At 36.8% G+C, this 13,632-nt stretch overlaps 1 protein-coding gene across 3 annotated transcripts in view; it reads left to right on the top strand.

Annotated features, from left to right (window-relative positions):
* The window catches only part of SP3 (Sp3 transcription factor), a 64,928-nt gene extending 54,612 nt beyond the window's left edge, over positions 1-10,316 (top strand). For 2 of the 3 annotated variants that reach the window (NM_003111.5, NM_001017371.5), the window contains one exon: positions 834-10,316. In NM_003111.5, the coding sequence (NP_003102.1) occupies positions 834-1,150 (317 nt within the window). In that variant the 3' untranslated portion in view covers positions 1,151-10,316. The remainder of the gene's footprint in view (positions 1-833) is intronic. The other variant, NM_001172712.1, reaches the window with a different exon arrangement.

The following is a 13,632-nucleotide window of genomic DNA, read 5'->3' as shown; positions in this document are numbered from 1 at the left end:
GTGCTAGAACAAAGGATACAAGCTAAGACATTTTTGAAGAAAGGAATTAAGAAAATATTTACTAGATTTATTGATTGATTTTTATTGATTTCTCTCTGAATTCCTTTTAGGTTGGCCTTTTGTCTTCTCTTTTGGTAATCTTGCAGAGTCGGTCTTCAACATAATAGAAGTTCAGTCTGTCTTTTGTATTTAAACTTACTTTATTCATGCTGGGAAATAAATTTAGGCATCAGGATTTTAACAGCTTTAACATCTTAACATATTAGGCTTGTTCTTGATTGTTGTAGCTGAAGTCAAGTCAGCTAGCCAGATTCATTTTTCTAAGGATTACTCATTCTTTTTGGATCTCAAGCTTGTGGTGTCATTTCTTTAATCTAGAAGTACCCTGTTGCTTTAATTCATATTTAAGAGTTGAAGGTTTAGTATCATGAACATGGCATGTTAGTATTTTAATTATAGCGTGAAAGAATATACTTTTATTTAGACTTTAAAGTGTGTTATAGATGCTTATTTTTTAGCTGGCATCTTAACACAGGTATTTCAAACAAACTCTTAGCGTAGTTGAGATATTAAAGTCTTATTTGAATATCCATCTATTATATAATACATGTTTGAAGACTGCTAGTCATCAAAAAGTAAAGATGAAAGATTTAAGGAGAAATATTCTGTAAGAGAAATCTGGCAGGGGTAGCTCGTAAAATGAATACAATTTTAATAGACCCCTGCTCCCATCCTCACCTGTCAGCGTTGACTTACTTTCTGTTTTGGGGGAGATGATTGAGCTATTAAAGTTGAATTTTTAAAACCAAGTAACTTAATTTTTTTCTTAACAGGTGAGAAGAAATTTGTTTGTCCAGAATGTTCAAAACGCTTTATGAGAAGTGACCACCTTGCCAAACATATTAAAACACACCAGAATAAAAAAGGTATTCACTCTAGCAGTACAGTGCTGGCATCTGTGGAAGCTGCGCGAGATGATACTTTGATTACTGCAGGAGGAACAACGCTTATCCTTGCAAATATTCAACAAGGTTCTGTTTCAGGGATAGGAACTGTTAATACTTCCGCCACCAGCAATCAAGATATCCTTACCAACACTGAAATACCTTTACAGCTTGTCACAGTTTCTGGAAATGAGACAATGGAGTAAATATTACACAAATACTTATTCATTGTGGTTATTTTTATACAGTAGTGAGAAGAATATTGTTCCTAAGTTCTTAGATATCTTTTTATTGATGTGCAAAAATTTTTGGATTGACAGTAACTTGGTTATACATGACACTGAAATGCCTTACTTTGTATGATATTCCATAGTATATTAAAAATGGTAAAATTGCATGGGTTTTGTAGGTACTTTTGGAATCTAGAAGAAATGAAATTTTACCAAGTTATATAAAGAGAAAATTGAATTTAACAATGCGAATGGTAGTCTAACCAAATGCATCAATCCTGTGTGGTTTAGTGTAAAAATGAGAACATGTTGGTATTTATCTATTGTAAGATAAAAAAGCTGGTGGGTGAAAGAAATCATGTTATGATAAAAAATTTTGTAATTTTCTTGATGACTGGAATTTTTATTATGCATAACTGACAAATCAAGTTTCCAAGCAAATGTTACATAGTGTAGGCTTTACTTAGCTTATCAATTTGTCATTTTGAAGCTAATTATTTTAATTAGGTTAACTATGTACAATATTTTAAGCATTACTCTTGTAAGATTTTGAAAACTACATTTTAACATGGAACTCTAGGGATAGTCACCTTTTAAATCCTGTTGAAAAGCCATGTTTAAGATTTAATTTGCCAAAATAATGTCTTGTTAATATTCTTTCAATAACGAAGTTGGGCAATATAACCAATGTTTAAAAAAGTTTAAAATGTATAAGTTGAGGCATTTGGGTGGTAAGAGAATGTTATAGTGAATTATCCCTTTTCTTGACTATTGGAGGACCAAAAAAATAAGGTGTATTGCGTCTTAGCAGTGATTTTTATCCAATCTTGTTTCCAAAAACCATGTCTCCCAGGGCCTTAAAAGCCATCATGTAAATTACCAGTAAAGTGTAACATATGCAAACATAACAAAATCACTTCCATAGTGACGATACTCCAACCATATGGATATTAGTCATAGAAGAACTAGAGGTTTTATGATATTTTTTTAAGTCTTTTTTTTTTTTGTCTAGGTAGTCAGTCTGCACTTAAATATCAATCATTTTCCTTTTTTGCTTCTTCCCTTAAAATTTATATGTATCCAGTACATTTAATTGAGAAGCGTATGTTTTTTATTATGCTGTATTTTCTTTTTATTTTTTAATTATTGTTTATATTTTCAATTCAAAAATGTACAAAATAAAGTTACATTGCTGGTCTTGTAAGAGCTATACAGTTTTCCTAAATGTATACCTGTAACTGCAGCAGTTCACCTATTTCAAAAATTTGGAATTCTGTTCATTTGTTATTCTTAAGACCACCTCAAATTTAAAGGCTACCTTATTGTACGTTTAAAGTGTATTATAACAGTGTGGTAGTTAATAAAACACTATTTTTTTTTCTTTTGAGTTTGTTGTATTCCTATGCATAAAAAATATTGCAGTGGTATGGGGTAAGAATTGGTGGTTTATTTTTCTTCAACTTGGCTTTTTATTTTTAGATTCTTGATTTTAGACACTGAATTGTAAACAGGCATTTATTTGAAGAAGAGATATATAGAGACACTGGTCATTTACTAATTTTTTACCTAGAGTAAATAAGAATGAGCTTATTAAATAAAATTTTTGAAAAAAAGTCTTAGCCCTTAGCCCACATTGATTCATATCAGTTTTATCAGTACCATTTTGCAATTTTTTTGTTTTCCGTTTTAAAGCAATGCAGAATATTTTGATTTATCGAAAACCTGAATTTACATTAAGACTCCTGAAAATGATAAGACAAGCGTTGGTAACCATGGCAGGAGTTACTTGAAAAAGTTGCCTTTGAATTTGCATGTGTTTCATCATTATAAAGGCAGAGTAGGAGGAAAGAGTATTAATGTGATTGTGTATTGTAGATGTTTTAAAGTAAAAATCAAGTTTCTTAACACATGTATACAGTGGGGGTAAAGATGTCCATTTTCTGTTTTCCAGGCCCAGTCTGACTCTGTCTGTAATACCTGATTGCATTGGAGAACTCTAGACACGCATAAACATGGACAGTTTTTCTAAATGTGAGACTTAAGCCTGTGATGTAAAATAGGAAGTTCTACTTGGAATAATATAAAGGAACCACTAGAATTTACAATTATTTTGAAGTTACAGGGATTAGATTTTGAATCTTAAAATCCTTTAGGTAATTTTTAGAATTTTTAAATTAAGATTAATGTGAAGAGAATTAAGTGAGCAGCAGGTGGTTCACTTGAGCAAACTGCCCATTAAGTCAGATTAAACCATTTGAATGATAGTAGAGATGTTTTAAGTAATACTGGATTTTTACAGTAAGTTTATGGTGTACTTTGAATCGATAGGTGTCCATGCATATTTTATGAATTCGTGGAGAATGAATGCAATGAAGAAAGTAAGTAGTCTTGAAAATTATTTAAATAAAGTTGTAGATTTTTTTAGTGCCCCCTAGGAATATATTAGTGAACTTTGGAACTTTTACCAAAGTTATGTAACCTCAGTGTAGATAATTTTAAATATTTCTATTTTTATATTTTAAAATGTTGAATATACTCTGGAAACAACATTTGAAGATTTGCTCTGATGTCAACTTTTTCTGGTTATAAAACCTATTAGTATTGTGTATAATTCTCAGGGTAGGTATACTCTAATAGGTGTTTTGTCAATTGCTTTATTTTTGTAAAGGCTAGAGTTAGTGCATATTGAATATATTTATGTACAAATAATTCCTGTTGTAACATTTAGTGGACGCGATTATCTGTATACCTCAAATTTTAATTTAAGAAAGTATCACTTAAAGAGCATCTCATTTTCTATAGATTGAGGCTTAATTACTGAAAAGTGACTCAACCAAAAAGCACATAACCTTTTAAAGGAGCTACACCTACCGCAGAAAGTCAGATGCCCTGTAAATAACTTTGGTCTTTCAAAATAGTGGCAATGCTTAAGATACTTAAAAATACACATACATATAAGCTGAAAGCATGTCAAGCCTATTTCATAGAAAATAGTTCTTAAACAGTATTGTTCATTAGAAATTGCTGGGGAGCATTTTAGAGATTCCATAGGCCTGGTAGCCACCTCAGCTTACTAAATCAACATCTCTGGAGATGGAGTGTATATGTGTTTTGAAACAGCTGCTCAAGTGGTTCTGTTAAACACTCCTGCGTTACAATCACTTAAAATAGAGCAAGCATCCCCTTAGGCTCTTAATTGTAGTTTAAATTCCAGTACTGCCTACTCAGACCCAAAAGTTTTGTTTTATGAAAAATTTGTATTGTGTTCAATATTGTTTGAAATTTGGGGTTGTTGCATAAATGATTATGGAATAACATTTGGTTTTAAAATAATATAAACTGACATGTTATGCTACCTGTTACACAATTTGGTTTTCAGTTTTAATTATATGAAGCTGGTAACAATCGTTTTTGTTGTAAAAGAATTATTTTTCACTAAACAGTATGTTTAAAACTGACTGCCATGAATGAGTACTAAGTCTTTTGTTGTCTGACAATAAGCACAAAACAAATTAATTGATATCTTTGGTACAAATTTGATATTTTTGTGAAATCACCTCATAATTTTATTTAGTGTTGAAGAAACAACATTGGCCCCTTGCCTTGTTCAGACAGATTTGCGTATAATGTAAATATATATATTAGTGGCAGAAACAAAGTACTGTAGAAACCTAGAAGAGGGAGAATTCTGCATGAAGTCTGGGAAACTCAGCAGAAATGGCGTTTGCAAAGGTACAGTGTGGTATGTTGGGTGATGGGGGACTTTGTGAGGGACAGAGTGGAAAAATTTTTAAGAGGGGCTGCCAAATTGCAAAAGAGAAGAATTTTTTTTGTCAGTGATTCCTAGTCTTTTTGGAATCCTACACCTTCTCCCCAGAAAAATTCATTCTAGTCCAGGGTTTATTGTTTGTTTTTTCCCTATATTTGACAGGGTCTGTCTCTGTCACACAGTGCAGTGGTGCAATCATGGCTTACTGCAGACTCCACTTACTGGTCTCAAGCAATCCTCCCCACTTCGGCCTCTTAAGTAGCTTGGACCACAGGTGCACACCACCATGCTCAGTTAATTTTAATTTGTTTTGTAGAGATGGGGTCTCACTATATTGCCTAGGCTGGTCTTGAATTCCTGGGCTCAAGTGATCCTTCCACCTCTGCCTCCCAAAGTGTTGGGATTATAGGCGTGAGCCACCACGCTTGGCCAAATCTGGAGTCTAAAGGGTATACAAGGTTTTTTTTTTTCCCATGTTGGCTTTTATTTGATGTTATAAAGTCTTCATGATATGAATATATTTTTTAAAAAGGTGTCATGTATATTGTCATGTAACATGATTCATGCCACTTCATTGTATTAAATACGTTTAAGATACAGTTTTTGATGTTAAGAATGATATCCTGAGAAGGCCTATCTCCTTCAGTCCTTTTCCCCATTTTTCACCTTTTAACTCTTGCTTCTGAATCTATGCTAAGCTACTTACTAGATGTGTGATATTGGTAGTTTTCTTACCTTAAAACCTCATTTTCATCATCCATGAAGAGGCTAACAATAGTACTCCCTGTTGATAGGATTGTTGTATTAAAATATAAGCATTCAGCATAGTGCCTGACTTAACGGTAGAGATTCAAATGGTAACCTCCTTCCAATGCCTTCCTCCCCCCTTAACTCTGGAGATTCCATTTTTCTGTAGTGAAGTGTTTTAGAATTTTCATTGTTTGACTATGGTTCATACATTGATTTTTCCAAAATGAGAAGAAGTCTTATTTCTAATGCAAAAATGTGAAAAGAACAGTTGGAACCTAAAGTGATAGTGGATGAAGTGTCTGAAGTGACTGCCCTATCAGAAAAGGATGGAATAAGAAGAAAAGACTGAAGCACCTAAATGTGTATTTTCTTGAGGAAATTACACCCCTGTGTAAGAGTCTATCCTATTTGAACATTTCTAAAAACCAGCCGAAGAATCTTCAGGTTCATTGCGACTGAAAGATAAAGTCTAGCACTGAAGTGGTTTTTAAGATTAGGAAAGGCCATCAGAGAAATGCAGTTATTTCTCCCCTCCATCCTTCCCCCACAAAAAAAAGTCTAAGCCTCCGATTAATCGACAACAACGAAATACAGGAAGTATTGGCTTAGTGACCTTTTAGGATATCTGTCCGACTTACATCCCTTCTCTGAGCATTACTTTCTGCCACCTTCCGTGAGGAGCTGTTCAGAAATCAGACAAGGAGTGGACATCTGGTCAAAGTTGAGCCAATTAGATGATTTCTCCTGAGAATTTGGAATTGGAAAACTGATGTCTTGGGAGGTCACATCTGGAACATACATGGGAGGCAGAGAAAGCAAAGATGACATTCAACCCCAGAAGAAAAAGAAAATGGCTTTCTTGATTCCTGATAACTTGGCAGTGTTTGTTCCAGTGTCTTGCATTTCACTATCTGCATTTCATCCTCCTGGGGTTCCACAAGATAGCCTTAAAACCTTACAGAGAGACTCCCCAACTTAGTTTTTTCTTAAGTCAGAAGGCTGTTACTTGCTACCAAATAATGCCAACTAAGACAACTGAGGTACAGTATATTCTCTCGTAAAACACCATAGAGTTGATGACTTGATCCTATAGAAAAGGGTCCCCAACCCCTGGGCCACAGACCGGTACTGGTCCCTGGTCTGTGAGGAACCACCTGGGCCACAGACTGGTCCTGGTCCCTGGTCTGTGAGGAACCAGGCCATACAGCAGGAGGTAAGCGAGCATTCCTGCCTGAGCTCTGCCTCCTGTCAGATGAGCCACAACATTAGATTCTCATAGGAGTGCGAACCCCGTTGTGAACCCCGCATGCGAGGGATCTAGGTAGTGCCCTCCTTAAGAGAATCTAATGTCTGATGATCTGAGGTAGAGCAGTTTCATCCTACAACCATCCCCACCCCCCGACCCCCATCCATGAAAAAATTGTCTTCCTCAAAACTAGTCCCTGGTGCCAAAAAGTTTGGGGACCGCCGTCCTAGGAAATACCAACAAAAAGTCACGTTTATTGCCTGCCAAGTGAGTCAGGTTTAGACAAGGCAGAACTTAGTATATAGCTTGGATGAATCAGAAAGGGTGGGCCTTGAAAGACTGGTAGAATGTGTCCAAGAAAACTGATTAAAAGCCTTAGAAGTCCCTCTACAGTTTCAGGACGCCCTCTTAACAGATGGCTGTATCTTTATCTGTGGTTGGTCTTGTGGAATACTGACTTTCTGCCAGCATTAGCCTGTGTTTCTATGTCACACCAAGTCACGTATATTTTCATTGTGTGTTAGGACTCAGAATAGGTTTGGGTCTTTCTTTTAATTATGTATACCCAATTACTTAGTCCTCCTCACACCCTGATCCTTTAAAAATTCTTAAGTTGTGTTAATTGCATTTTTCTCAATTCTACTCCTAGTAACTCTGTGTGTTTTTTTCCATCTTTATTCATTTAGTAAAGTTGAAACCTTTCATAGCATAATATAGTGATTAAGTGCATAGGTTTGGGACTTAGACACACATGGGCTTGCTTGTCTCCCAGTTCTGCCGCTTACCACCTATGTGACCTTTCACTCTTTACCTTTCCACTCTTAGCCTGTTCTCTAACTATAAAATGAGAATGATGCTAGCGTCATCTTCATAGAGTGATTATGGAGATAAATAAGTTAATGCATGTAAACCACTTTCCATAATGCCTGGCACATATTATATTATGTATTAGTAAATGTAAGCACTGGAAGAATCAGTAGTCTTCCTACACTTGAAAATAGTTGTCTTCAACTATTGTTGTATTAATGAGTTAATTCACCTTGTTAAGTCACCTTGATCCACCTAATTGTCAGCCAACATTTATTAACGAAACTGCTAGTATTCGTATTGTGCCTTTTTTATTATGAAACATTTCAAGAATACAGAAAAATGCAGAAAACAATGTAACAAATACCTAAGTATCTATCACCCAACTTTTATAGTCTTATTTTTACCTATATATTTTTTCTTTTAGAAAGGAATGATCACAGTTGTGCCTGAAATCTGTATAGCCCTGTCTCATTTCATTTGTCTCCCTTTACCCACATAAGTAATTGCAGCTCTGAATTTGATGTTTATCAGAATGATACCATGAGTGGTTTTATATCCTTATTATATGTATGCATACCTAGGATTGTTTTTCTGATTTTGAAACTTCATATAAATGGTATCATTCTGTACAAAACCTTCTGGGACTTGTTTTACCACTCATGTTTTTGAGATGTATCCACACTACCATCTTTCTCTAAATCATTCATTTAAATGCTGTAGTTCATTGAATAAGTTTATCACAATGTATCCATTTTCTTCTTGATGAGCATCTCAGTTATTTCCAATTTTTGACTTATAAACAATGCTGCAATGAAATAATTGACATATTTCCTTGTGTACATGTGAGCATTTCTTGAGATATGTATCTAGAACTTGAATCACTGGCCAACAGGATATTCTTAATCTTCAGTTTCACCAGATACTTCCAAATTGATCTCCATAACATGCATACCAAATTATATTCCTACCAGCCATTTATAGGAGTTCACATTTTTTCCATACCCTCCCAATCCTGCCTTGGCAGATATGTTTTTTCCAATGAATAACAATGAAATTTTGTTTTGGGATTTGACAAAATGATTCTAGATTCATCTGGAAGAAAAGCAAGTATAAGTAAGAAATTTAAAAGGGACCTGAAAAACTAAGCAATGGATATATTTAAAAATTGGTACCAGTAGGGATAACCAAATATTTGTTAACTGTAGCAGAAACAATGCATGTTTTTCTCACTGGTTCCACCTTCTATCTCTCAGTCAAGCCCTGCCCAGGTGTGGTAGTCCTCATAGTCTCTCACTGTAGGGGTCTTCTCACATAGTAGACCACTCTCTTGAGTTGAATATTGAAAAGAAGGCTTGGCCGGGGGCAGTGGCTCATGCCTGTGGTCCCAGCACTTTGGGAAGCTGAGTCGAGCGGATTGCTTGAGGTCAGCAGTTCGAGAGCAGCCTGACTAACATGGTGATGAAAAGTACAAAATTAGCTGGGGGTGGTGGCGCATGCCTGCAATCCCAGCTACTCGGGAGGCTGAGGCACGAGAATCGCTTGAACGCAGGAGGCATAGGTTGCAGTGAGCCGAGATTGCACCACTGCACTCCAGCCTGGGCGACAGAGCAAGATTTCGTCTCAAAAAAAAAAAAAAAAAAAAAAAAGGCTTAAGTCCAACTAACTGTTTCCCTGCTGTTCATTTTATCCAACGGCTGGGGATATAGGCTACTGCACATGATGGGTTGATGGATGTGAAATGATAACTCATGACTTTAATTCTAATTTTTCTATATTCTGGTGAGGTTGAGCATATTTTTACAAGTTCATAATCCATTTTCCTCTGATGGGAGTTGCCTGTTTGAATCCTTTGCCCACTTGCTTTTTGGGGTTATTTGCAATTTTTTGCATTGATCTTCAAACATTCTTAATTAATCCCAGGTACATATTATTTTATATATAAGATATATTTTAGAGATATATAGGCTGATAGTATCTTTTCTCAGTCTAAGGCTTATCTTTTAATTTTGTTTATGGTGTTTTGTGTGTGTTGTTTTGCAGAAGTTTTATTGTATCTGAATTGTGGCTTTTGTGTCTTAAGAAATTCTTTACCTACTGTCATAAAAATTTTTGTCTAAAAATTTTATGATTTTGCCTTTCTATTTATCTTGTTAATTCACTTTGAAATTACTTTTGTTTATGGCATAAAGTCCATTATTTTCCATATGGATAATCAGTTGTCTTAGCAGTTTATTGAATGGTCCAACGTTTCCCTGCTGATTATAATGCCCTCTCTGTTATTTATCCTAAATTCTTGACATCCGGTAAGGAAGTCTCCTCTGCCCACCCTTCTCTGTATTTCAAAATGGTTTTGACTGTTCTTGACCCCTTGCTCTTTCTGTGAACTTTAGGATTAAATGATTATGTAGAATTAAACAATCGGGTTAAGGTTTTTTATTAGAATTACATTGAATCTATAGATTAATTTGGGGAAAGAATGTTATCTTTCTATCCATGATAATTCTGTATCTCTCCATTAATTCAAGTCTTTAATGGTTTTTAAAAATAAATTATTGTCTCTTTGAAAATCCTTACACATCCTTTATTGCACTGATTCGTATGTAGTTTATGTTTTTGTTGTTGCTTTGGAGAATAGGCTTCTTAAAATTAAATGTTTAAATTGATCAATGCTGGAGTATATAAATGCTATTGATATTTGTAAAATGATTTTGTCTAATAATCTTACATAATTCTTTTGCTGTTCTAATAGTTTGCCTGTAGATCCTATACGATTTTCTGTGGAGACAGTCATATTGTCCTCAAAGAAGAAAATGTTTGTCTCTTCATTTCCAAGTCTTGTGCCTCTACTTTTAATCAACAGCTTAATGTTAAACAGAAGTGGTGGTGCCAGACATCTCTGTCCTGCTTCTGACTACTATTTACTTTTCTTTCTCACATGTAACTATAACATTATTCAGTTCTTATAACATGGTAAGATAGGTGGAATAGGCATTATCTCCATTTCTAGTTAAAGCTGAGTGGGCCAGAGTATCACTCCAAAACACACAGCTAGTAGATGTCAGAATATGTACTCCAGACTTTCTGACTTCAAATCCTGTGTGATTATCTCAAGTATCACAGCTGTCTTCATATAACCTAAAACAGGATTGATGGCATTTATTTCTTCAACAAACATTTGAGTGCATGTTATATACCCGATATTCAGGATGAAATTATCATTTCATAATTTCTACCCTGAAGGTTATAGTAAGAGAAGCTGATAACATTCTGACTATAATCACCTTCCTGACTTAAAAAAAAATCCATTTGGTTTCACTAGTTTCCTGTACTTTTTTCATTATAAGAACATATTCCCTTTATTTCAATGTTAGGGAAGGGCTACTTTTTTGTTTTTTGTTTTTCCTTAAACATGATCCTCTAAGAGCTACAGTATAACTCTGCTAAATATCCACAGATGTGACATCTGGAGCACTGTGCCCCAAGCCTGGGAGAGCCTGCGTATAGGCCTTGTCTACTTGGCACGTTTAGATTCATGAGGGGACCTAATAAACCTTTTATGACTTTCAAAGAAAGAACATAGGGCCTTACTTGCTCAGGCTCTAGTGTTAAACTTGAGGCTCACTTGATAAGCCAAATTCAGGGCAGCAAAAAACTAAGAAAAGTTGATGATGGGAATGTATCTTTCTAACCAAAGTGTTCCTCAAATCTACTCCAATATTGGAGACAGTGAGTCAACCCTGAAATGGAGACTAGAAACTATAAGGCAGCAACATATGCACAAAACCAACTTTTTTTTTTTTTTTTTTGAGATGGAGTCTCATTCTGTCACCCAGGCTGGAGTGCAGTGGTGCAATCTCGGCTCACTGCAACCTCCACCTCCCGGATTCAAGCAATTCTTTTGCCTCAGCCTCCCCAGTAGCTGGGACTGCAGGCACATGCCACCACGCTCAGGTAATTTTTTGTAGTTTTAGTAGAGACGGGATATCACCGTGTTTCGATCTCCTGACCTCGTGATCCACCCACCTCAGCCTCCCAAAGTGCTGGGATAACAGGCGAGAACCAACGCGCCTGGCCAAAACCAACTTTTTAAAGCAATATTCTGCCCTATAAGTCATTATGTGACTGATGACGCACAGCAAAAGCGACAGTAGGTGTGAACACCATCCGGAACCAAGGTCTTGTGTTACCTAGTCTCCTCTCTGCTGGGCTGGTTTCTTTTTCAATTGGCAAAGGATAAAGGGACAGTTTTTTGAGATATTTCTCATGTCCTAGAATTTAAACTTAGGACACAGAGGGCAAAGGCTCGGAGGAAAGAAGTTAGCCGTTAACAGCTATGGCTGTGGAGAAAGAAGGTGTCCTAGAATGTGCGGGAGCATCATGGGGCCGGACTCAGCCTGCAGCGCCAGTGCTGAGCGACCTCTTTTAACACTCTGTACTTAAAGAACAACCAAAGGTGGTATACAGTCTTAACATTATTTGAAGGTGGCTTTTTGGACTCTGACTCAGTGTGATCGCAGCTTCTTTGTTCTTGAGGACTTTATCCCATCACAACTGTGAGATCTGGTGGGGAGCAAGCTGCAAACTTAAATTCCTCCCTGGTTTTGCTCTACAAGGGCAGAGAAAACTGTCCCTTTGCAAACAGTCATAAAATTAACAGGGTCACGGCATGGGTTCTATCAACTTGCTAGACTGTCAGGCAACCAGCTGCAGAAGGACCTAGGCCTTGCTCGTCATTGACCTCTAAGAATTAGCAGCACCGGGTTGCTAACTCCTTTGCTTTTGGCAGTTACTTCTGTCTTAGTTTCCCTATTGCCCCATGGGCAGGCAGCTAGGTGAGTGAAGTCTGGGTTCGCCTTGTCTCATTGTCACCTACTCCTCACTCACAATCAGGTTCTTGAAAGAGTTGCCCACACACTTTTCACTTCCTTTTCCCCTGCTCTCCTCTCAAATAACTCCCATCTGGTTTCTGTTCCTTCACTTCACTAAAGATGGTCTTGAAAAGGTCAACAGTGACCTCCCTGTCACTAACGCATGTAACATTGAAACATTCACATACTGCCTGACCTCAGTGTTCACATCAGTTGGCTGTTCTCCATTTGTTGAAGTAGATTCTTTCCTAATATCTACCCATGGCCCAGCTGTTTCCTTCTTCCTCTTTCCGCTTCTCTCTCTCCTTTGCTAGCTTTTCTTCTTGTACCTGGCAGTTAAATGTCGAATTTTTCCCAGGCTTGATCCTGAGCTGATTTCTCTTCTCAATCCGCACTCTTTTACTGGATGATCTCATTTGTTCTTGGGATTTCCTTTTACTGCAGACGTGGGCAACTCCCAAGTTTTCCATCTTCACTCCACTCCTCAACTGAGTTGCAGGTAAAATATTGAATTACCTATTTGGCCCCTGTTTTGGAACTTTCACAGGTACCTCAAACTTTATGTGTTCAGAATTCAGTTTCTGAATGTCTACTCCTAAACCTGGACCTTCAGTATTTATCTCAATGAATAACGTCATATGCTTCTCGATGCTCATGCCAGAAAGGGGAAGGTTAACGTTGACACCCTCTCCTTCCCATTCCCCATATTGATCTTGTTGATTGTCCAAGTGTCTCAAAGCCATGCATCTCTCTACATCTCCTCTACCAGCATCCGAGCAACAGCCATCATTTTTTGCTTGGATTACAGCAGTATCCTGGAATCTGGGCTCCTCGTAACCACTCTTCCTGACTCTGACTAGTCCACACTCCAATCAGCAGCCCAGAGTGATCTTTGAAAATGTCAGTCTCCTTAAAACTCTTTATTGGCACTTCACCTAGCATCCCGAGGCTTTGCCATGCCTGGCTGGGCCTCTGCCGGCTTCCCCAGCCTCCGCACACATGAGCCTGTCCCTTA

Source organism: Homo sapiens, chromosome 2, assembly GCF_000001405.40.
Source record: "Homo sapiens chromosome 2, GRCh38.p14 Primary Assembly".
In the NCBI taxonomy this organism is placed as follows: Eukaryota; Metazoa; Chordata; class Mammalia; order Primates; family Hominidae; genus Homo; species Homo sapiens.
Note: the sequence above shows the minus strand (reverse complement) of the source record. Positions and strands in the feature narration are given on the sequence as shown.